At 36.2% G+C, this 23449-nt stretch overlaps 1 long non-coding RNA gene across 1 annotated transcript; it reads left to right on the top strand.

Annotated features, from left to right (window-relative positions):
- The first annotated feature begins 294 nt into the window (after positions 1-294).
- Positions 295-19138, top strand: LOC105377502 (uncharacterized). The gene is made up of 3 exons (NR_188465.1): positions 295-390; positions 17977-18061; positions 18667-19138. It is a non-coding gene; the product is annotated as an uncharacterized LOC105377502 (long non-coding RNA).
- Positions 19139-23449: the final 4311 nt, after the last annotated feature.

Below are 23449 nucleotides of genomic sequence, written 5' to 3'. Positions count from 1 at the left end.
AAAGGAGTCCTTCATAAATACCTCAAGATTATCAGATAGGCAGCAGAAACTTGAACTGGGACCCTGCTTGGTCCACGTAGAAAAACAGCCACCCCATAACCAAATGCCAGTTACTGGAAACTAAAGATGTGCTTCCTCTTTAATATGTACTTCACCCAGAATTGCTACTATGAGGTAGTCAGGATTCTGAACCTCATAGTGAAATAGTGACCTCAATATCTGGCTCTAGCACCAAGGGATGAAAATGGAAAAAGAAGAATAAAGAGAAATGCTTCAAAGGAGATTGTTCCAGGACTACCAGTAGTTCTCTACTAGGTTTACAAGAACTGATCCAGCAATGGAATACAAATGCACTAGTGATCCCAGCCAAGATACCAGAACCTGACCAAGGTCAGGTGACCCATGGCACCTTTAGAAATAATGCACGGTTTTAAATAACTGTTTTGGGAGTGGTTTGTTATGAAGCAGTAGCTACTGATCTGGTTGTACTTTCCCTAAGGGTGTTCCTCTTCTCCCACTTCCTTATTGGCAGAGCCCGCCTCCCACACCCTGGCTTTCTCAGCTCTCCTTGCACCAGCTCCACTGCTAGCTCATAGGAACTGAAGAGAAGACTTCCAGGAACTTTTCACAAGAAGCCTCTCCTTTCTTCCATGCTTTGCACTTTTTCTGGGAGGATATGAGGCTTGGTGCTACTAAGACCACCCTGTAATCATTAATATTTATAGGGATACTAATAATACCAACTTCACAAGAAATTGACAGGATTAAGTAAATATATGTAAAGTACTTAGGAAAGTTCCTGGAACATAATGTCATTTAGTCTTAGCTAAAATTTGACTGGAGGTGACATAAATATACTAATGATATAACTTTATTATATACAAAGAAAATGGCATTTGGCTGGAACTTACTAAGTGATAACCATACTACTGTTATTAACAAAAAGGAGAGTCTTATTGAGTTGTGAGATTAATGATATACATGTTCAATTTTATTTAATATGTACAAGTAGTTTTTGATTAATACAATTTAATTTTAAAAACCAAAAATTAATTTTAAAAATTTAAAAATATTTTCAATTTAATAATTTATAATTTTATGTTAATAATTTAATAATTTTTATTTAAAAGTAAAAATTGAAGTTTTAAAAATAAAATGTCACTGTTAGTAAACATTCATGAAGATATTAGTCTGTCTCAGAGATAGTACCTACCTAAAATATAATTTTTCATGTTTCCATCATTATTTATGGTTGCTTTTCTTTGAAAATAAAGAATGCTTTTTTTTTCCCTAAAAACTTTTTCTTTTAGAAAAGTTTTAGGCTCACAGCAAAATTGGAGATACAGATATTTTTCATATAGCCCTGCCCCCACACGTACACATCCTCCCCCGTTATCAGCATCCCCCACCAGAATGATACATTTGCTGTAACTGATGAGCCTACGCTGGCACATCATTATCACCCAGAGTCCATAGGATACGTTAGGGTACACTGTTGGTGTTGTACGTTCTTTGGGTTTGGACAAATCTATAATGACTTTATCCACCACTATAGTACCATACAGAGTATTTTTACTGCTCCAAAATCTTTTGTGCTCCTCCTGTTCATCTCTCTTTGCCCCCTAACCCTTGGCAACCACAGATCTCTTTACTAACTCCACAGTTTTGTCTTTTCAAGAATGTCATATAGTTGGAATCGTATAGTTTGTAGCCTTTTCAGATTGGCTTCAGTAACTTAAGAGTGTTAATTTAAGTTTCCTTCATGTATTTTCATGGTTTGATAGCTCACTTATTTTTAGTAATGAATAATAATTCATTGCTTGGATATACCATAGTTTATTTTTTCATTCACTTACCAAAGGACATCTTGTTTACTTTCAAGTTTTGGCAATTATAAATGAAGCTGTTATAAACATCTGGGTGAATAGTGTTTCATTTTTAATCTGCCTTTGGAGATTACTATGTGAGGCCCTGATGATCAGAGAAGCTGCAGCCATCTTCAGAGCATGAGGGAAAAGCTCAGAGGATCACAAGACTTTGAGCTAGAACTTTTGACTTTTTTGGGCTATTAATTTAACCTACGTTGGAACCATCTGCCTCCAGAGTTTTTGTTGTACAAAATAGCGTGTGTTCTTACTGCTTAAACCACTTGAGGTAAGCTTTGCTGTAATTTGAATCTTAAGGAACTCAGAATTTCCTTGCCCTGTTCCCAGTGTTCTTAGGCAGTTAGGGGCTGAGAACTCTTGGCATAGGTCCTGTATTCCCAAAAAGTAGACTTGAGATTGTATCCATCAAATATCAGTGTTGGGGTGTTCCATCATTTTGTATTAGTCATTAGAAACATAATGCTATTGGAGAACATTTATATTTTTTAACAAAGAAAACAGCACAGAAAATGCACATACTTCATTTTTGTCTTATATAAACAAATATAAATATTTTTGATTCTCCAGCTATTTGTATTACAGAAAATTCTGTGCTTTTAAACCATTTTCTTTTAATTGTCTCTTTATTCTGCAAAACCTCTTTTGATATCTTAAATGGTTACTAACATTAATAATACAAGATGTCAGAATTTTCCTGGAAGTCATATACAATACTTCTGTTTATATCTTATCGGCCAGAATTTGTCACATGACTACTTGCTGCAAAAAAAAATCTGGTAAGTAGATTGTATGCCCACCAGCACTTTTTATTACCATGCCTGTGTCTCCATATTCTTAGTTGTTCCAACATTTCTAATTCTCTAGTGTTTGGCAGGTGAAGATAACTATTGTTATCAATTTTATTTCTTTTATGACTAGTGATGCTGAGCTTTATCTTCTAGATTCTTTACACAATTTAATTAATGACTTCATTACATCTACTAGGGCAGTGTGGTGTATCTAAATCATCATAGACTAATCTTCAATGTTGTATGCAAGGCCGGATAAAATTTCTTCTTGCCATGATTTCAATCTTTTTAATAGCAAGAAAGTGACTTTATATTTTAAAATGTATCTCTGTTAAGTGGGCACACAAAAAATAATGAAGAATAAATTAAGAAATAATATAATCTCAAGTCATTTAAAAATTCTATACTTTGATTTTTCTTAATTATTCACATAATTAGAAATTGAATTCATATCAATTTTCGCTAAAAAATGCCTAACTCCATGTCTAACACATAGTAAGCACTAAATAATCATTTGTTAAATGGATACATGAATGAAAAAATAATTAGCAGCATTGATTTTATTGGGAATAGAATCTAATATTTTTGTGTTTTCAACATTTTTAAGGTTGCTTTATCAAGATTATAGTGGTACTAGAAATATCTTTCCCATTTTCTTTCAGTTTTAACAAAATTAAAGATTCTTTCTCAATGTTTAGAATTTCACAATTGGATTTTATATGTGAATTAAGTTGTGGCTCCAGGGTGTGTAACACTAAATATTAACAGAAAATTAATTATCAGTAAGAGACTAAAAAGGCATCTCTTCATTACGATATTACTTTTGAAAGAATTTCATAGTATTCTTAGGATAAACACATTATTGTATGCTGCATTTTTTTTCTGTTCTCATAGATAGAAATTAATTTTGATTCCATTAGTTCTGCACATGGTAATAGTTTTAGGTTTTCTGTATTTGGTTTTATTTTTTTCTGTGAATGTTAATAATTTTGTAAAACTTTGTACACTGTAAATAAGATGACTATCCAAATCTCAGATAGTTACAAAGTGTTTTTCTATATTAGAAATATTTGTTTGAAAACTGGCAAGGTTGGGCCAGGTGCAGTGGCTTAAGCCTGTAATCTCAGCACTTTGGGAAGCCAAGGCGGGCGGATCATCTGAGGTCAGGAGTTTGAGATCAGTCTGGCCAACATGGTGAAATTAAAAATACTACGTTTATATTAAAAACATGAAAATTAGCCAGATGTTGTGGCAGGCGCTTGTAATCCCAGATACTTGGGATGCTGAGGCAGGAGAATCGCTTGAACCTGGGAGGTGGAGGTTGCAGTCAGCTGAGATTGCACCACTGCACTCCAGCCTGGGTGACAGAGTAAGACTCTGTCTCAAAGAAAAACAAAACAAAACAAAAAAAAACCCGGGCAAAGTTGTTAATGTAATTGGTAATATATATTTATTACTAAACTAATATAATTTGTAGATTTTGATAAAATAATACCTTCTACTTTGAACTTAACTTATATTTTATTCCATACATCTTGAGGAGAAAAACTACTTTATTTTACACATCTACAAGATGGGAACAATAATGCTACTTACCTCAGGATCATTGCAAATAATAAGACAAATTAATGGCTTAGAACAATGACTGGCATGTATGAAGTGTTCAGTAAATACCTGGCTGATTCTTTTCCTTCTTACTCTTGTTGTTACAATCTTTTTATTGCCTATATTAACTGTCTAATGATTAGCAAATGAATTAAAATATTTGGATATTAAAGCATAGACCTTTAGAAGTCTGCATGAACAGAGACCACACTTTGGACATCTTTTGTGTTATGCACAGGGCCTACCATTAGGCTGAGCATTGTGTCAACTATTAACTTGGCCATCTCCTCGATCCCATGTTCAAGTATGTGATATTATCTTCATTCATCATTCACAACTGATTCTTAAACATTTATTATTTGTCATGCACCTCTGGCAAAAAAAAAGATAAGAATAATAAAAGAAATGGACCTGGGTCTTGTTCTCATATAAACATATGGGAATCTACAAATATTCTTAAGAATATCTAAATATTTGTAATACAGAAACTCATACTGTTCCTTAAATCAGTTTCTTATAGTCTTCTCTTTCCAAAGTTAAATACTTTCACATTATTTATGAAGAGACACAAATTAACAGTCATCTACACTATAGCACTAGACATTCTATATTAAAGCTTTAAAAAGTGTTAGATGACTTATTGAAGAAATATAATTTAAACCATCTCTGCTTGCTAGCACAGAACCATGTAAACCAAAGCCTCAAATAAATTAGTTTATGAGCATATAAAGAATTGCTTTAAATGGAGACAAGAATAATTTGTTTGTACTTTCTCATTATCATCAAAAACATTTTCACTGTTAGCAGTATGGATAGTATAGTTAAATGTTATTAGGAAATATGAAAAATCTTCTCTGACTTCTTATGGCATATTAACTAACAGGGGTGGCATAAGGCTGAGAAGATGGCTGGGTACAGTGATATGGTTTAAATTTGTGTTCCTGACCAAATCTCATGTTGAATTGTGATCCCCAATGTTGGAGATGGGGCGTAGTGGGAGGTGTATGGATCATGGGGGCAGACTTCCCTTTTTGGTGCTGTTCTCATGATAGAGTTCTCACAAGATCTGGTTGTTTAAAAGTGTGTGGCACCTCTCCTGCCTTCCTCCTGCTCTGGCCATGTAAGATGTGCCTGCTTCCCCTTCACCTTTCACCATGATTGTAAGTTTCCCGAGGCCTCCACAGCTATGCTTTTTGTACAACCTGCAGAATCGGGAGCCAATTAAGCCTCTTTTCTTTATAAATTACCCAGTCTCAGGTATTTCTTTATAGCAATGTGAGAACAGACTGATACACAATATTACTACCAAGAGTGGGGCATTGCTATAAAGATAACTGCAAATGTGGAAGCGCCTTTGGAACTGGGTAATGGGCAGAGGTTGGAAGAGTGTGGAGGGCTCAGAGGAAGACAGGGAGATGAGGAAAAGTTTAGAACTTCCTAGAGACTTGTTGAATGGTTTTGACCAAAATGGACATTGAACTCCAGGCTGATAAGGTCTCAGATGGAATGAGGAACTTACTGGCAACTGAAGCAAAGGTCATGCTTTTATGCATTAATAAAGAGCCTGGCTTTACTGTGCCCCTACTCTACAGATCTGTGGAACTTTGAACTTGAGAGTGATGATTTAGGGTATCTGGTGGAAGAAATTTCTAAGCCGCAAAGCATTCAAGATGTGCCCTGCCTACTTCTAACAACCTATGCTCATATGCATGAGGAAAGAAATGACCTGAAACTGGAACTTATATTTAAAAGGGAAGCAGAACATAAAAGCTTGGAAAATTTGTGGCCTGGCCATGTGGTAGAAAAGAAAAACCCATTTTCTCAGGAGGAATTCAAGCAGGCTGCAGAAATTTGCATAAGTAAGGAGTTGCCAAGTGCTGATAGCCAAGACAATGAGAAAAAGGCCTCCAAGGCATTTCAGAGACCCTGGAGGCAGCCCAGCCCATCACAGATGCAGAGGCCTAGGAGGGAAGAATGGCTTCATGGGCCAGGACCAGCCCTGCTGCCTTGAGCCTTGGGGACACTACTTCCTGCATACCAGCTGCTCCAGCTCCAGCCATGGCTAAAAGGTCCCCAGATATAGTTTGGGATGCTGCTTCAGAGGATGCAAACCGTAAGCCTTGGCAGTATCCATGTGGTATTAAGCCTGCAGGTGCTTAGAGTGCAAGAGTTGAGTCTTGGGAGCCTCTGCCTAGATTTCAGAGGACATATGAAAAAGCCTGGATATCCAGGCAGAAGCCTGCTGCAGGGACGGAGCCCTCATAGAGAACCTCTACTAGAACAGTGAAGATGGGAAACATGAGATTGGAGCCCCTACACAGAGTCCCCACTTGGGTACTGCCTAGTGGAGTTGTGAGAAGAGGACTACCATCCTCCAGACCTCAGAATGGGAGATCCACTGGCAGCTTTTACCCTGCACCTGAATGAGTCATAGGCACTTAACGCCAACCCATGAGATCACCTGTGGAGGCTGAACCTTGCAAAGTCACAGGGGAAGAGCTGCCCAAGGTTTTGAGAGCCCACCCCTTGTGCAAGCCTGCTCAGAATATGGGACATGGAGTTAATAAAAATTATTTTGAAGCTTTAAGATTTCATAACTTCCCTGCTGGGTTTGGAAGTTGTATGGGGCCTGTCATCCCTTTCTTTTGGGCAATTTCTCCCATTTGGAACTCGTGGGTTTACCCAATGCTTGTACTCTCATTGTATTTTAGAAGTAACTAAGTTGTTTTGATTTTACAGGCTCACAGGGGGAAGGGACTTGTGTTGTCTCAGATGAAACTTTGGACTTTGAACTTTTGAGTTAATGCTGGAATGAGTTAAGATTTTGGGGGATTGCTGGGAAGGCATGATTGTAATTTGCAACGTGAGAAGAATACAAGATTTGGGAGGGGCCAGGGGCAGAATGATATGGTTTGGATTTGTGTCCCTGACCATATATCCAGTTGAATTGTAAACCCCAGTGTTAGAGGTAGGACGCTGTGGAAGGTTTTTGGATCATGGGGAGGGACTTACCCTTTTGGTGCTGTTCTTATGATAAAGTCCTCCTGAGATCTGATTCTTTAAGTGTCTGGTACCACCCCCCGCCACCCACTTCCTCCTACTCTCACCATGTAAGATGTGCCTGCTTCTTTTTTGCCTTCTGTCATAATTGTAAGTTTCCTGAGGCCTTCCCCACCATGCTTTCTGTACAGCCTGCAGAACCTGTGAGCCAATTAAACCTATGTTCTTTATAAATTACCCAGTCTGAGGTATTTCCTTATAGCAATGCAAGAATGGACTAACACATACAGCTTTTAGGTTTTAAAATAAATATGAGAGTTGAAAAATACTGCCTCATAAGGGCAATAACCAAATTAATGTGCTTGAAATAAACCTATCAATGCTCATTTGAGACTTTTCCATTTAAGAAATGCATCTACATGAAAAGCACATAATACTCAAATTTGTTGTGAGCTATCATAAATGGCTCCCCAAAAGGCTGACTTAATGACAATTATCAGATGCCAAGGAATACACCTTACTGTATCAGCCCAGTGAGGGAAGTGGTCTGGGCAAGGAATGGACTCATTAAGAAAAACAGTCTCCAGTGAATTCTTCTCAAATCTTTTGTGATTGAAAATCCCATCAGCACTTTATCTGTAAGTTGGTTGCTATGTGAGGTAATGGGGGTCAAGGCTTCTAGAACTACTACTGCTTGCAGAACATGAACTGATTAATTTTTATTCTAGATTCAGCTGTGTTAGAAATGTCATAGTCCTCTCTTAACCTCTATTTGTGGGATCTTCTATTTCTCTTCAGTTGTTCATCATCTAATGTTCAGAGCCCAGGATAATCACCCAGACTCATTTTTGGGTGTCTCTGTGTGGATACTTGAAGCAAAATAGGGAATGTTGCTCTAAATTGTTGACCATTTGGGAATATTTTCTCAACTCCACACTTTACACATTTGGTTCATATTAGGTAGTTTAGAGAACACAGTATACATCCCAGCTTGAATTTCAATTCTGCTGACTCTCACTACTAGGATCAGACACACCTAGACATACCCAGTAGGCAAGCAGGTTAGTTTCTTCAAGGGATGCTTGACGTAATTGTTTGAGACCTTCTGAGTAAAGAAATGAGACACATAAGCTCTTTCTAAGACTGATTTTCTAATATCAGAGAGAAGGTGTGATTTGGAGAAATTTATAGCTCAGTGTTATGGGTTAAATAGTGTCCCCAAATATCTATATTAAAATCCTAACCCATAGTACCTTCAGAACATGAACGTATATTTAGAGATTAGGCCTTTAAAGAGGTAATTAAGATTATTGGAAGAAAAATCTTTCTGTCAACTTAAGTTCAAGTGATCAGAACCTGTGAATTAACAGACATACTAAGGAGAAAAGACAGGTTTAATTCACACATATATAGGAACACACAGTAATGAATGACTCGGTGAATAGCCAGAGGTATAGGTCTATATACTACCTAAACAAAAGGAGGGTAAGTGGCTGTGGCCAGTGTCCAGGGTTTCAGTGGGGAAGTATGGAAAGTCCTGTTGGCTTTTTGATGCAAATAGAAATGGCAGTGTTTATCCAGGCTGAAATCTCAGCCTGAAGAGGAGGGGGGGTGTTATGACAGTGTAATTTATACTTCCTGCTGCCAAGGGCTAGTATTCTCCTGTATCAGGGTTCTCCAGACAAACAGAACCAATAATATATATTGACATATTACTGATAACCAATTATATATACATATGAATATTTATGTATAATATATACATATATGAAGAGATTTATTATGAAATATTGGCTCACATAGTAGGAAAGTTGGCAGTGTAATTTCAGTGCAAGTCTGAAGCTCTGAGACCAGGGAAACCAATGGTGTAAATCCTGGTCCAAGGGCAGGAGAAGACTGATGTCCCAGAGCAAGTATGTGGCAAGAAGCAAAGGGGCCAAAATCTTCCTTCCTCTGACTTTTATTCTATTTAGGCCCTCAATAAATTGGATGATGCTTTCTCACCTTAGGGAGGTCTGTCTACTGAGTCCACTGATTCAAATACTAATGTCACCTGGAAACACCCTCATAGACACACCAAGAAACAATGTTTAATCTGGGCACCTCTTGGCCCCATTAAATTGCCATGTAGAATTAACCATTTTAGCCCTCTAATAGGAAACTGCTTTGGAGGGGGTCAATGGCAGCTGTATTTGGGGAGTCTCTGCTAAGTTTAGATTATGTTTCTTTATGTGGCTGCTGATTGTTTAGATATTCTTCAGTTAAAGTAATCTTCATATCACTTTGGTGGGCTGTTAACCCTTTCAAGGTTAAATGAGGTTATTAGGGTGGGCCCTAATCTGGTATGACTGGTGTTTTTATGAGAAGACACAGACACACAGAGAGAGCACTTCACGTAAACATGAAGACAGCCCTTCTACAAGTCGAGGACAGAGGCTTTAAAAGGAACTGACTTTGCTAACACCTTGGTCTCGGACTTCTACCCTCCAGAACTGCAAACAAATTTCTATTGTTTGAAGTAGTCAGTTTGTGATACTTTGCGATGACAACCCTAGCAAATTAATACACTCAATTTTTTTTTTAATCCTATGAGTTCTGTCAAAAAGAGAAAGAAATGTCTGTGTGACAAAGTTAAACTTAAAAAATGTTAACTCATAAAGTCTCTGTGAGATGTTGGATGTTCAAAGAGGCATTTTCACAGGTCATGTGTAAATATAGCAAGAAGGAATGGGCCCACCATAGCACAGGAGTGTCAGCACTGGGGTTATTCATAGCAGGAGACACCACCTCCAGCAGTGGATTCAGCTATAGCTTACCGAGGCCATTCCTTTGAACAGAACTTAGAGCACTCAGAGGATAAAACTGCAACAAAGCCCAGCTTTGCAGGCACTATAGAACTCAGTAGACAGTGGAGGCTGAAAGGACTTGCCTGTGACCATATGTGAGGCTTCTCTGAAAAGTTCTGGAAGTAATTTGAGGAAACACTGGGGGTGCAGGATGGTCACAGAAGGATGTGGATTTATAATTTACTATAGTTAGATGGTGTCAGCACCAGAGAAGTAATTACTTATTTATTTATTTATTTATTTTCACATTAAAGCAATATTATTACCTCTAGGCTGGGGCAAATACACATGACATTGGGACAGAAGACAATCCTCACATTGGCATTAGAATAAAGAAACTATAGACATATCAGAGAGGATCAGACTTTGTGGTCAACAGATTATTCTGTCTCCAGAATTGAATTTGATCCTTCTACATTAAATCTACCTGTATTTTGTTTTAAATAACATTTTATCCTTCTCAGATGTGAATTCACTTAATAAGTGACTATAGATCTTCATCTTTAGTAAGGACTTGGGCATCCCATGAAAAGCAGCTGGTTAACTGATACAGAACAGTACACAGCAAGTGTAATTGAACTGGCAAAAGTCTGTCTTTCTTAAGATGGCAGCCTCCAAAATGATTTAATAAAGAGAAAAGAAAAAAGGCCAATTCAATAATTTTGAATAATAACTTTGATTTTATCTTAAGAATGTTTCTTAAATTAGAAATATTATAATATTGCATTTGAATATAATCCTTCTTTTCCTAAGGCCTTCAAATAATGTATTAAGGTGTTATTACATATATTCTAGCTCATGTACCAATATGTAAGTATTATCACTGCCTTGTTTATGGAAGATTTAGAATCTTCTTGATGTTTTACAAGCTGAGTCAGTGCCAGATAACTAAAAAATAATAGCAAGGTGTTTGCAAGCCTCAAACCATATTAGAGATTATAACTGAGACACAGAGAAATGACTTAAAGAGAATAAAAGCAATTATGATGTAAACCAAACATAAAATCCTAAGCTCCCCAACCAATTAAATGGTGCCCTCCTCTTGGCCAAGTGCATTACAAATTTAACCTGAAACACTAGTCCAGGCCATAATGGGACGGGGGAGTCATACACGCCTCATTATACCCTCCTCCCTTTGGAATTTAGTCACAATTGACCAGCCTTAACATTAAAACAGAGACCTTATGACTGACAAAGCAGACTGTTTGTAGCAATATGATACCAACATGACAAACAGCAGGCCCTGAAGGAAAGAAAAGCATTTTACCCCAAAGTATATATATTTTTTCAACATATTTTGAAAATGGCCCTGCAAAGCTGTCTCTTACAGGGGAAAATCTACAATCTGTAGAGAATTCCTTTTCCTTTCCAGGTCTTTTTCCTGATTCAGGAGAGAATTAACTAAGAGTCTGGCACTTGATAAGTCTGATAATAAAGTTTTACAATCTATTCTCTCTGAAGCCTGCTACTTGGAGGCTTCATCTGCCTAATAAGAACCTTGGTCTCTACCATCCCTTATCTTAACCCAGACAGTCCCTTCTATTGATTCTAAGTCTTTAAATAAACTCTTTAAACCAATTGCAAATGAGAAAATCTTTGAATCCACCTATGACCTGGAACTCCGATCCCCTTTGCTTTGAGTTGTCCCACCTTTCTGGACAAAACCAATGTACATCTTATATGCATTGATGAATGTCTTATGTCTCCCTAAAACATATAAAACCAGCACCCTGGGCACATGGTCTCAGGACCTCCTGAGGATGTGTCAGAAGGATGTCCTTAACTTTGGCAAAATAAACTTCTAAACTGATTGAGACTTGTCTCAGATATTTTTTGTTTACAGTGAACAAAAGGGAAAACACCTGGATAATTTTGCTCTTTGACTAAGGTGATATGGTCTGACTGAAAGTCCAAATCTACCTCCTACTGCCCTCTACCATGTTCACTCCACTCCAGGCTCAGTGTTCTTGCTGTTTCTAACTCCCCGAGCATGATATTCTTGTCTAGGTGTCTTTACATCTGTTTTATTTTTTTTTCTTTACCTGGGATGCTCCTTCTCCATAGCTCTCCTCTGCATGTCTCTAAGGTGACACATCCTCAGACAGGCCTTCTCTGTTGCCCTATCTCAAACAGTATTCTCCTTCATTACTCTATTTTTCAATGTAGCACCTATTCTTCCTGCATTTAGTAATATAAATTTACATTCCTTTATCCCAACCCTTTGAGAATAAATGTGCTTCCAGAATAAGACATTTTCCTCCCAAATTTTAGAAAGATAATATAGGACATTTACTGTATATTATGTAACCCCTTCCCCCAACACACTTGGCCTCAGCCACTGATTTACAATAAAATTCATTACTAGTAATTAATTTTAAGTGGGATAAATAAAGACTATAGATAGCTTTATGTCAGTTCAAGACAAGTTTTTGCCAACAAATAAGTTATAAAAGAATCTTTGGTTTTCAGAACTTCTTGAATTGTAGAACTGTGGGTAGGAGATTTGGGGAATACATATAAAAATATAAATGTAAATATATAGAGAGACTTGCTTGCTTGTGTGTTTGTTTGCTTTTCCCATAAAATGTAAGCTCCATTAGGTCAAGGGCATGGTCTATAGGTACTCAATGAGTATTTTGTAATTAAATAAGACTATTTTCCACCTGATGATCCTTTTGTACCATTACCAGTAGACACTGATGTAGACTTTCAAAAATCTCCCATATATATGTAAGAGATGTTGGTCTGAGGGGCACTGGACTCTGAGATGTCATGAGCAGTATAACATAGTGGATAAAATTTCAAACTCTGGAAACAAGCTGAATTGGCTTCCAAGCATGATGTTGGTCCTACCATATTCTGTGGGAACCTCAAAGAACTTTAATTTTCTCATCTATAAAATGGAGAATATAACACATTGTGGATAAACAAGAACACCAAAGAGAGAGAAAGCAATAGAGAAATCATTCCCAAAGCCATGAATCTCAATCCGTTTCTAATTGGAAACAAAATCTGCTAAATACCCTCTACATTTTAAATGATTCATTTCTTCCTTTTTGTCCCTAACCAACCAACATAGATAGATAAGAGGGTGTCGTGAATTGTTCTCTTTGTTTTAAAGGTAAAAACTATTTGAAAAAAAAAAAAAAAAGCCATGTATGCCAAGAATCAAGACAGTATGGTGTTAGCAGAGGGACAGAGGGACAGACACATAGATCAATGGAACATATAGACCCACACAAATATTCTCAACTAATTTTGACAAAGGTACAAAACAATTCAGTGAAGAAAATGTAGTCTTTTCAATATCCATTGCTGGAGAAATTGGACATCCATGGGCAAAAATATGAACCTCAACCAAACTGTACACCCTTTAAAGATAGAAGATGAACTTCAAATTCAAACTTTTAGAAAAAAAAATGAGTGAAAATATTTGAGACTTAGGACTAGGAGAAAAGGTATCAGTTTTGACACCCAAGAAAAAAAAGATTCATAAAAGGAAATAAAGACAAAATAGACCTCTTCAAAATAGAAATAAAAATAAACAACTTATCCTCTGTGAAAGATCATGTCAGGAGGATGAAAACACAAGCTACATATGGGGTCAAAATATTTGAAAATCACATACCCGACAAAAGCCTTGTATCTAAAATATATAAAAACTCTCAAAATCCAACATGAAACAACACCACCACCACCAAGTACTCCAGTTTGAAAGTAGGCAAAAGACATAAATAGGTATTTCTCTGAAAAAAAAATACAAATGGTAAACAAGCACATGAAAAGATGATTAGCCATGAGGGAAATTAACGTTTAAAACCACACTTAGTAGACATCCCTACACACTTATTAAAATGGTTCAAAAAATAGTGATAATGTCAAATGCTGGTTAGAATGCAAAGAAACTAGACCACTCATTTATTGCTGATGAGAATGTAAAGTAATGTAAACACTCTAGAAAATAGTTTTATAATTTCTTAGAAAATTAAATCTGCACTTACACATGACCCAGCAATTTGACCCTGTACATTTATCCCAAATAAATGAAAATTTATGTTCACACAAAAACAGGTACACGCATTTGTAGAAACTTTATTCATAGTAGCCCCCAACTGGAAACAATGTAGATAGACTTCAGTGGGTGAATTATTGAAAAACATTCACATTATGGATTACTACTCAGCAACAAAAAAGAACAAACAAGTGGCACATACAACCACTTGAATGGATCTCAAGGGGATTATGCTATCTGAAAATAGGTACTCTCAAAAGCTTATGCATACTATGAGGTTTCATTTGTGGAACATTCTTGAAATGATAAAATTATAGAGATAGAAAATATATTATTACTGCTAGGGACTGAGAAAGGGAGAAAGGAACAGATAGAAGAGTGTGTAACTGTCATAGGATTCTTGTGCTGATGGAACTGTTATGTGTCTTGACGGTGATGGTTGTTAAATAAATCTATACCTGTGACAAAAATAAAATGGAATGAAGCACACAAACACATGCAAATTAGTGCATGTAGAACTAGTGAAATCAAATAAGGTTAATGGATGGCATTGTCATTTTCCTGGTCGTAATTCTGTACTATAGTTATGCAAGATGCTACCCTTGGGAGAAACTGAAGGGTATACAAATTTCTCTGTATTTTTTTTTTTTAACAACTGCATGTGAATTTAGAATTTAAAAATGTGCAATTAAAGCAACGTGTAATCATGAACTTTTTTTTTTGGTCAGGATAAACCAGTAAGTAGGATATATTTTCTGTGATTCAATATAATTTTATAATTTTTTGTCCTTTCAATAATCTGCAATCTTTCCATAACTAGACAATAAATGATTCATATAAAAGAGTTAGCAAGTAATTGGAATACATTAATTAGAAAGTCAAAATTATGAAGATGAATCAGCTCAAAATGGAAATATTTCTTTTCTGGAAAATTTATCTTGCTATTTCACATTGCAATTGTCTCTAAAATACATGAGTTTATAACCAGGTAAAAGTAAAAATTTCCAGAATCTTGGTCCAATAGATCATTATTTCACATAAACATTGGATTGTAGTAACCTCAGAAATGGAAAATTAGCTTTGGTTATAATTTTCCTATAAAGCCAATAGGCAATCATAACTGTACTCATAAGCAATGATTCAAATTCCTGCTTAACTAAGTCGTACATACTTGTCATAAATGAAGATGATTTTAATAGTGATTTGAAGAAAAAAGAATGTATTTTTTAGAGCAGTTTTGGGTTTACAGCAAAACTGAAAGGAAGGTATAGAGATATTTCATACACCACCTGCCCCCACACATGTACAGCCTCCACCCTATTGAAATCCCTCACCATATTAGTACATTTGTTACAATATATAAACCTACATTGACATATAATTATTATTCAGAGTCTGTAGTTTACACTGGGGTTTACTTTTGATGTTGTATATTCTATGGGCTCAGACAATTGCATAATAAAATTTATCTACCATTATAATATAATATAGAGTATATTTAGATCCCTAAAATTCTTCTCCATTTCACCTATTCATCTCTCCCTGTCCCCTAACTCCTAGAAACCCCTGATTTTTAAAATCTTTATAGTTTTGACTTTTCAAGAATGTTATATAGTTGGAATCATACAGTACATAGCCAATTTAGATTGTCTTGTTTCACTTAATAATATGTACTTAAGTTTCCTTCTTGCATTTTCATAACTTGATAGCTAATTTCTTTTTAGTGCTGAATAATATTCCATTGTTTGGATGTACCAAAGTTTATTTGTCAATTTGCCTACTAAGCAATATCTTGTTTGCTTCTAAGTTCTGGCAATTACAAATGAAGCTACTCATTACTCATAATAATAACCATCTGTGTGCAGGGTTTTGTGTGGATGTAAGTTTTATGTGCAGGGTTTTGTGTGGATACTACTTAGTATCTCCTTTAAGTAGATACTAAGCAGCACAATTGCTGGATTGTGAGGTGAGAGTATGTTTAATTTTGTAAGAAACTATGAAACTCTCTTACAAAGTGGCTGAGCTTTTTCTCATTTCCACTAGCAATGAATGCAAGTTCTTGTTGCTCTATATCCTCACCAGCTTTTGGTGTTTGATAGAGAACTCTCATATACCCCATACTCAGCTTCTCTTATTATTAGCACATTACATAATTATAATGCATTTGTCTCAATTAATGAACTAATATTGACATATTATTCTTAACTGAAATCCATACTTTATTCAGATTTATTTAGTGTTTATCCAATGTCCCACGTCTGCCTCAGAATCCCATCTAGGATACCATAATGCTTTTAGTTATCATGACTTCTTACACTCATCTTGGCTATAGCAGTTTTTCAGACTTTGATTGGTTTGGTGACCTTGACAGTTTTGAAGATTACTGGTCAGGTATTTTTTAGAATGTCCCTTAACTGATATTGTTTGATATATTTCTCACTATTAGAATGGAGTTATGGGTTTGGAAGAGAAAGACCAGAGGTAAAATATGCATATCATCATATGTATATTAAATATATAATATTTATATTATTAATTGATTTTAAATATCATATCATGGTTATTAAATATGATTTTGACATCTAGAATTTTGCTGTGAGAGCATCCACAAACAGCTCTGGAGAGGCAACCAGGTCTCAGTTCTAACAGAAGCAGTTAGAGAGCTGTGAACCATAAATTTGCCTTTTCTAGGTTTCTGTTCGCTCACTGGAAAATGGAATTTTCTTCCATTCCAAAAGTTCTGTTACTCATATTAGCCAAGGGCACTGGGCCTGTTCTGTGACATTAGGGCTCATAAATTCCTTGGAATATGGGCCATTTCCTTTGAACAGATACTTCTGTGATATACCTAATGCTGATAAGATTGGCCTGTAGGCCTGCATCTTAAGTCAAGGGGCCACTGTGATACAGTGCACAGCACCTGCTTTTTGCCTAGTGGAGAATTTTAGCAACACTCCATCAGAAATTTTGCTCAAAAAATGAAATACATTATCCCTCCATACCTCCTCAGCTTTGCCATCCCTTTCGTTTCCCCCTCACATCCATTTCAGAATTAAAGCTACACTTTTGTTATTGCAAGTTCAATAAATTTAAATTATTATACCTAATTGAATCATACGTAGAGCTATATATCTGTTTCCATTTGTACACAGAAATTAAAATTATATTTGCTTAGAAGCACCATAGGTAAAAACCTTAAGCATTCATTTTTCTTATTTTATTTATTTATTTTTATTGATTCTCTCACCATCTGATATAGTTTTGAAAAAGCACTACAAAGGCAGAAGGTCAATGCAAATGAAAAGAAAGAGGTGTGGACAGTCCATAAATTGGATCATTTGTGTTGAAAAACTGATACTTTAACTCTACTGAGTTGTGTCCTATGCCCCACTTGGAAAACTCACAATCTCACAGAAGTTAGAAAGCTCCTTCCCTCTCCACATGTCACTGATTGTCAGTCACTAGGAGAAAGCTGAACAGGTACACAGCCCAGATTCCTGCAATGTTCAGAAAGTTTGACAAATACAGATGGTGTATTCTAAGAGACAGGAAAATAGATATTTTTCATCTAGTGGAAAACTGCTATCTACAATACGGAGTTTTTTCTGTGTAAGTTTCCTTATACTGACATTTGGAAAATACCATTATTCACAGATGGGAAGAATAGTCTACTAGCAGTAGAATTAGAGGAGTTTGCCATTTTTTAATAGGCAAAGCACCAATCCCAAGGTGTGTACTATTAATATGTATATTTTGCTAATTGTATTCTAAAATAGGATATTTTATATTATGATAGTCTTTTCCATTAAAATTTTCATTTCTCTTCGTTTTTTGTATAGACAATGTTTTGCTGCTGTTATCCAGAATTAACCTTTGATTTTGAGGAGTGACTTTAAAGTTTGGCAGAAAAGAAGCAGAGTCAAGGTAGGAAAATGTTTACTTTGGAAGCTTAGGCCTTTAAAGAAAACAAACAAAGTAAAAATTTGCCTATTATTTCAAACTGTTCATACATGGTGGTCCATAAACTGGATCATTTGTATATACCTATCGGCCACCAAAGTATATACTTTATTTCTAAAGCCAAATGGAAACCTAAGTATTCAGTTGAAATTTCAGTGCATACCTATTCTGTTTACCTCTATACTCTCTGGCTCTTTAAATTCACAAAAGGTACCTCAGAAGTTGGGAAAATGTCTAAAATTAGCATTCATGCCTAAGTCTCTGTACTCCAGAGTTTCACTCATATTTTCCCCCTCTGCCAAAGTATAGCAATATCAGTATTGAGAAAAATAATGAATATTTGCTCATAACTAAACATTATATTCAACACTCCCCAATGTTACCTTTATTCTCTAAGAATATGGCTCAGAAAAGATTATTAATATTTTTTATAGTAAAAATAAAATTATTTTAATTACGGAGTATTTGTGTTATAAATGCTGCCAACAGGTAGAAAAAAAGTTTGTGTTCAATTTGTTTCTCTTGTTTTTCCTCTTCCTTGTCCAACAACAAAAATTTCTTGTCCTTAGGACCAGGAATTGCTTCAGTAAAGTTGCAAGATACCAAATCAACCTACAAAAATGAATAGCATTTCTATATCATAGAAATGAAACAGCTGAAACAAGAGAGCAATCCCATTTACAATAGCTACAAAAAAAAGGGATCAATTTCACCAAGGAGATAAAAAATCTCTATAAGGTAAAAACCATAAAACACTGATGAAAGAAGTTGAAAAGGACACAAATGGAATGTCATCCCATGCTCATGAAGTGGAAGAATTAATATGATTAAAATAAACATACTTCCCAAAGCAATCTACATATTCAATTCAGTCTATACCAAAATAACAAATGTCATTTTTCACAGAAATAGAAAAAAAATCCTAAAATTTGTATGGAACCAAAAAAGATCCTGAATAGTCAAATTCTGAGCAAACAGGGCAATGCTGGAGGTATTACACTAACTGAATGCAAAATACATTTTCATTGTAAGACTATAATAAACAAAACAGTATGATATTGATATAAAAATAGACACAGACAAATGGAACAGAATAGAGAAACTAGAAACAAATCCACATATTTACAGCCAATTGATTTTTGACAAAGACATTAGGAACATACACTGGGGAAAGAACACTCTCTTTGATAAATGGTGCTGGGAAAATTGGATGTCCATATACAGAGGAATGAAATTGGACTCCTATCTCTCATGATATACAAAAATCAACTCAAAATGATTAAAGATTTACATGTAAGACCTGAAACTATACCAAGCAAATGGAAAACAAAAAAAGGCAGGGGTTGCAATCCTAGTCTCTGATAAAACAGACTTTAGACCAACAAAGATCAAAAGAGACAAAGAAGGCCATTACATAATGGTAAAGGGATCAATTCAACAAGAGGAGCTAACTATCCTAAATATATATGCACCCAATACAGGAGCACCCAGATTCATAAAGCAAGTCCTGAGTGACCTACAAAGAGACTTAGACTCCCACACATTAATAATGGGAGACTTTAACACCCCACTGTCAACATTAGACAGATCAACGAGACAGAAAGTCAACAAGGATACCCAGGAATTGAACTCAGCTCTGCACCAAGCGGACCTAATAGACATCTACAGAACTCTCCACCCCAAATCAACAGAATATACATTTTTTTCAGCACCACACCACACCTATTCCAAAATTGACCACATACTTGGAAGTAAAGCTCTCCTCAGCAAATGTAAAAGAACAGAAATTATAACAAACTATCTCTCAGACCACAGTGCAATCAAACTAGAACTCAGGATTAAGAATCTCACTCAAAACCGCTCAACTACATGGAAACTGAACAACCTGCTCCTGAATGACTACTGGGTACATAACGAAATGAAGGCAGAAATAAAGATGTTCTTTGAAACCAACGAGAACAAAGACACAACATACCAGAATCTCTGGGACGCATTCAAAGCAGTGTGTAGAGGGAAATTTATAGCACTAAATGCCCACAAGAGAAAGCAGGAAAGATCCAAAATTGACACCCTAACATCACAATTAAAAGAACTAGAAAAGCAAGAGCAAACACATTCAAAAGCTAGCAGAAGGCAAGAAATAACTAAAATCAGAGCAGAACTGAAGGAAATAGAGACACAAAAAACTCTTCAAAAAATCAATGAATCCAGGAGCTGGTTTTTTGAAAGGATCAACAAAATTGATAGACCGCTAGCAAGACTAATAAAGAAAAAAAGAGAGAAGAATCAAATAGACACAACAAAAAATGATAAAGGGGATATCACCACCGATCCCACAGAAATACAAACTACCATCAGAGAATACTACAAACACCTCTACGCAAATCAACCAGAAAATCTAGAAGAAATGGATACATTCCTCGACACATACACTCTCCCAAGACTAAACCAGGAAGAAGTTGAATCTCTGAATAGACCAATAACAGGAGCTGAAATTGTGGCAATAATCAATAGTTTACCAACCAAAAAGAGTCCAGGACCAGATGGATTCACAGCCGAATTCTACCAGAGGTACAAGGAGGAACTGGTACCATTCCTCTGAAACTATTCCAATCAATAGAAAAAGAGGGAATCCTCCCTAATTCATTTTATGAGGCCAGCATCATTCTGATACCAAAGCCGGGCAGAGACACAACCAAAAAACAGAATTTTAGACCAATATCCTTGATGAACATTGATGCAAAAATCCTCAATAAAATACTGGCAAACCGAATCCAGCAGCACATCAAAAAGCTTATCCACCATGATCAAGTGGGCTTTATCCCTGGGATGCAAGGCTGGTTCAATATACGCAAATCAATAAATGTAATCCAGCATATAAACAGAGCCAAAGACAAAAACCACATGATTATCTCAATAGATGCAGAAAAAGCCTTTGACAAAATTCAACAACCCTTCATGCTAAAAACTCTCAATAAATTATGTATTGATGGGACGTATTTCAAAATAATAAGAGCTATCTATGACAAACCCACAGCCAATATCATACTGAATGGGCAAAAACTGGAAGCATTCCCTTTGAAAACTGGCACAAGACAGGGATGCCCTCTCTCACCGCTCCTATTCAACATAGTGTTGGAAGTTCTGGCCAGGGCAATCAGGCAGGAGAAGGAAATAAAGGGTATTCAATTAGGAAAAGAGGAAGTCAAATTGTCCCTGTTTGCAGACGACATGATTGTTTATCTAGAAAACCCCATCGTCTCAGCCCAAAATCTCCTTAAGCTGATAAGCAACTTCAGCAAAGTCTCAGGATACAAAATCAATGTACAAAAATCACAAGCATTCTTATACACCAACAACAGACAAACAGAGAGCCAAATCATGAGTGAACTCCCATTCACAATTGCTTCAAAGAGAATAAAATACCTAGGAATCCAACTTAGAAGGGATGTGAAGGACCTCTTCAAGGAGAACTACAAACCACTGCTCAACGAAATAAAAGAAGATACAAACAAATGGAAGAACATTCCATGCTCATGGGTAGGAAGAATCAATATCGTGAAAATGGCCATACTGCCCAAGGTAATTTACAGATTCAATGCCATCCCCATCAAGCTACCAATGACTTTCTTCACAGAATTGGAAAAAACTACTTTAAAGTTCATATGGAACCAAAAAAGAGCCCGCATCGCCAAGTCAATCCTAAGCCAAAAGAACAAAGCTGGAGGCATCACACTACCTGACTTCAAACTATACTACAAGGCTACAGTAACCAAAACAGCATGGTACTGGTACCAAAACAGAGATATAGATCAATGGAACAGAACAGAGCCCTCAGAAATAACACCACATACCTACAACTATCTGATCTTTGACAAACCTGAGAAAAACAAGCAATGGGGAAAGGATTCCCTATTTAATAAATGGTGCTGGGAAAACTGGCTAGCCATATGGAGAAAGCTGAAACTGGATCCCTTCCTTACACCTTATACAAAAATCAATTCAAGATGGATTAAAGATTTAAACGTTAGACCTAAAACCATAAAAACCCTAGAAGAAAACCTAGACATTACCATTCAGGACATAGGCGTGGGCAAGGACTTCATGTCCAAAACACCAAAAGCAATGGCAACAAAAGACAAAATTGACAAATGGGATCTAATTAAACTAAAGAGCTTCTGCACAGCAAAAGAAACTACCATCAGAGTGAACAGGCAACCTACAACATGGGAGAAAATTTTCGCAACCTACTCATCTGACAAAGGGCTAATATCCAGAATCTACAATGAACTCAAACAAATTTACAAGAAAAAAACAAACAACCCCATCAAAAAGTGGGCGAAGGACATGAACAGACACTTCTCAAAAGAAGACATTTATGCAGCCAAAAAATACATGAAAAAATGCTCAACATCACTGGCCATCAGAGAAATGCAAATCAAAACCACTATGAGATATCATCTCACACCAGTTAGAATGGCAATCATTAAAAAGTCAGGAAACAACAGGTGCTGGAGAGGATGTGGAGAAATAGGAGCACTCTTACACTGTTGGTGGGACTGTAAACTAGTTCAACCATTGTGGAAGTCAGTGTGGCGATTCCTCAGGGATCTAGAACTAGAAATACCATTTGACCCAGCCATCCCATTACTGGGTATATACCCAAATGACTATAAATCATGCTGCTATAAAGACACATGCACACGTATGTTTACTGCGGCATTATTCACAATAGCAAAGACTTGGAACCAACCCAAATGTCCAACAATGATAGACTGGATTAAGAAAATGTGGCACATATACACCATGGAATACTATGCAGCCATAAAAAATGATGAGTTCATGTCCTTTGTAGGGACATGGATGAAATTGGAAATCATCATTCTCAGTAAACTATCGCAAGAACAAAAAACCAAACACCACATATTCTCACTCATAGGTGGGAATTGAACAATGAGATCACATGGACACAGGAAGGGGAATATCACACTCTGGGGACTTTGGTGGGGTGGGGGGAGGGGGGAGGGATAGCACTGGGAGATATACCTAATGCTAGATGACGAGTTAGTGGGTGCAGCGCACCAGCATGGCACATGTATACATATCTAACTAACCTGCACAATGTGCACATGTACCCTAAAACTTAAAGTATAAAAAAAAAAAAAACTACTAGAAGAAAGCATAGGAAAAACACTACAGGACAATGACTTATGTGAAGATTTTATGGCTAAGACCTCAAAAGCACTGACAACTAAAACAAAAAATAGATATATGGGACTATATTAAACTATAAACTTCTTCACAGAAAAGGAAACAATCAATAGAGTCAAGAGACAGCCTGTTGAATGGGAG

Source organism: Homo sapiens, chromosome 4, assembly GCF_000001405.40.
Source record: "Homo sapiens chromosome 4, GRCh38.p14 Primary Assembly".
Lineage (NCBI taxonomy): Eukaryota > Metazoa > Chordata > Mammalia > Primates > Hominidae > Homo > Homo sapiens.
The sequence above is the reverse complement of the archived record's forward strand: the minus strand, read 5'-3'. Positions and strand labels throughout refer to the sequence as shown.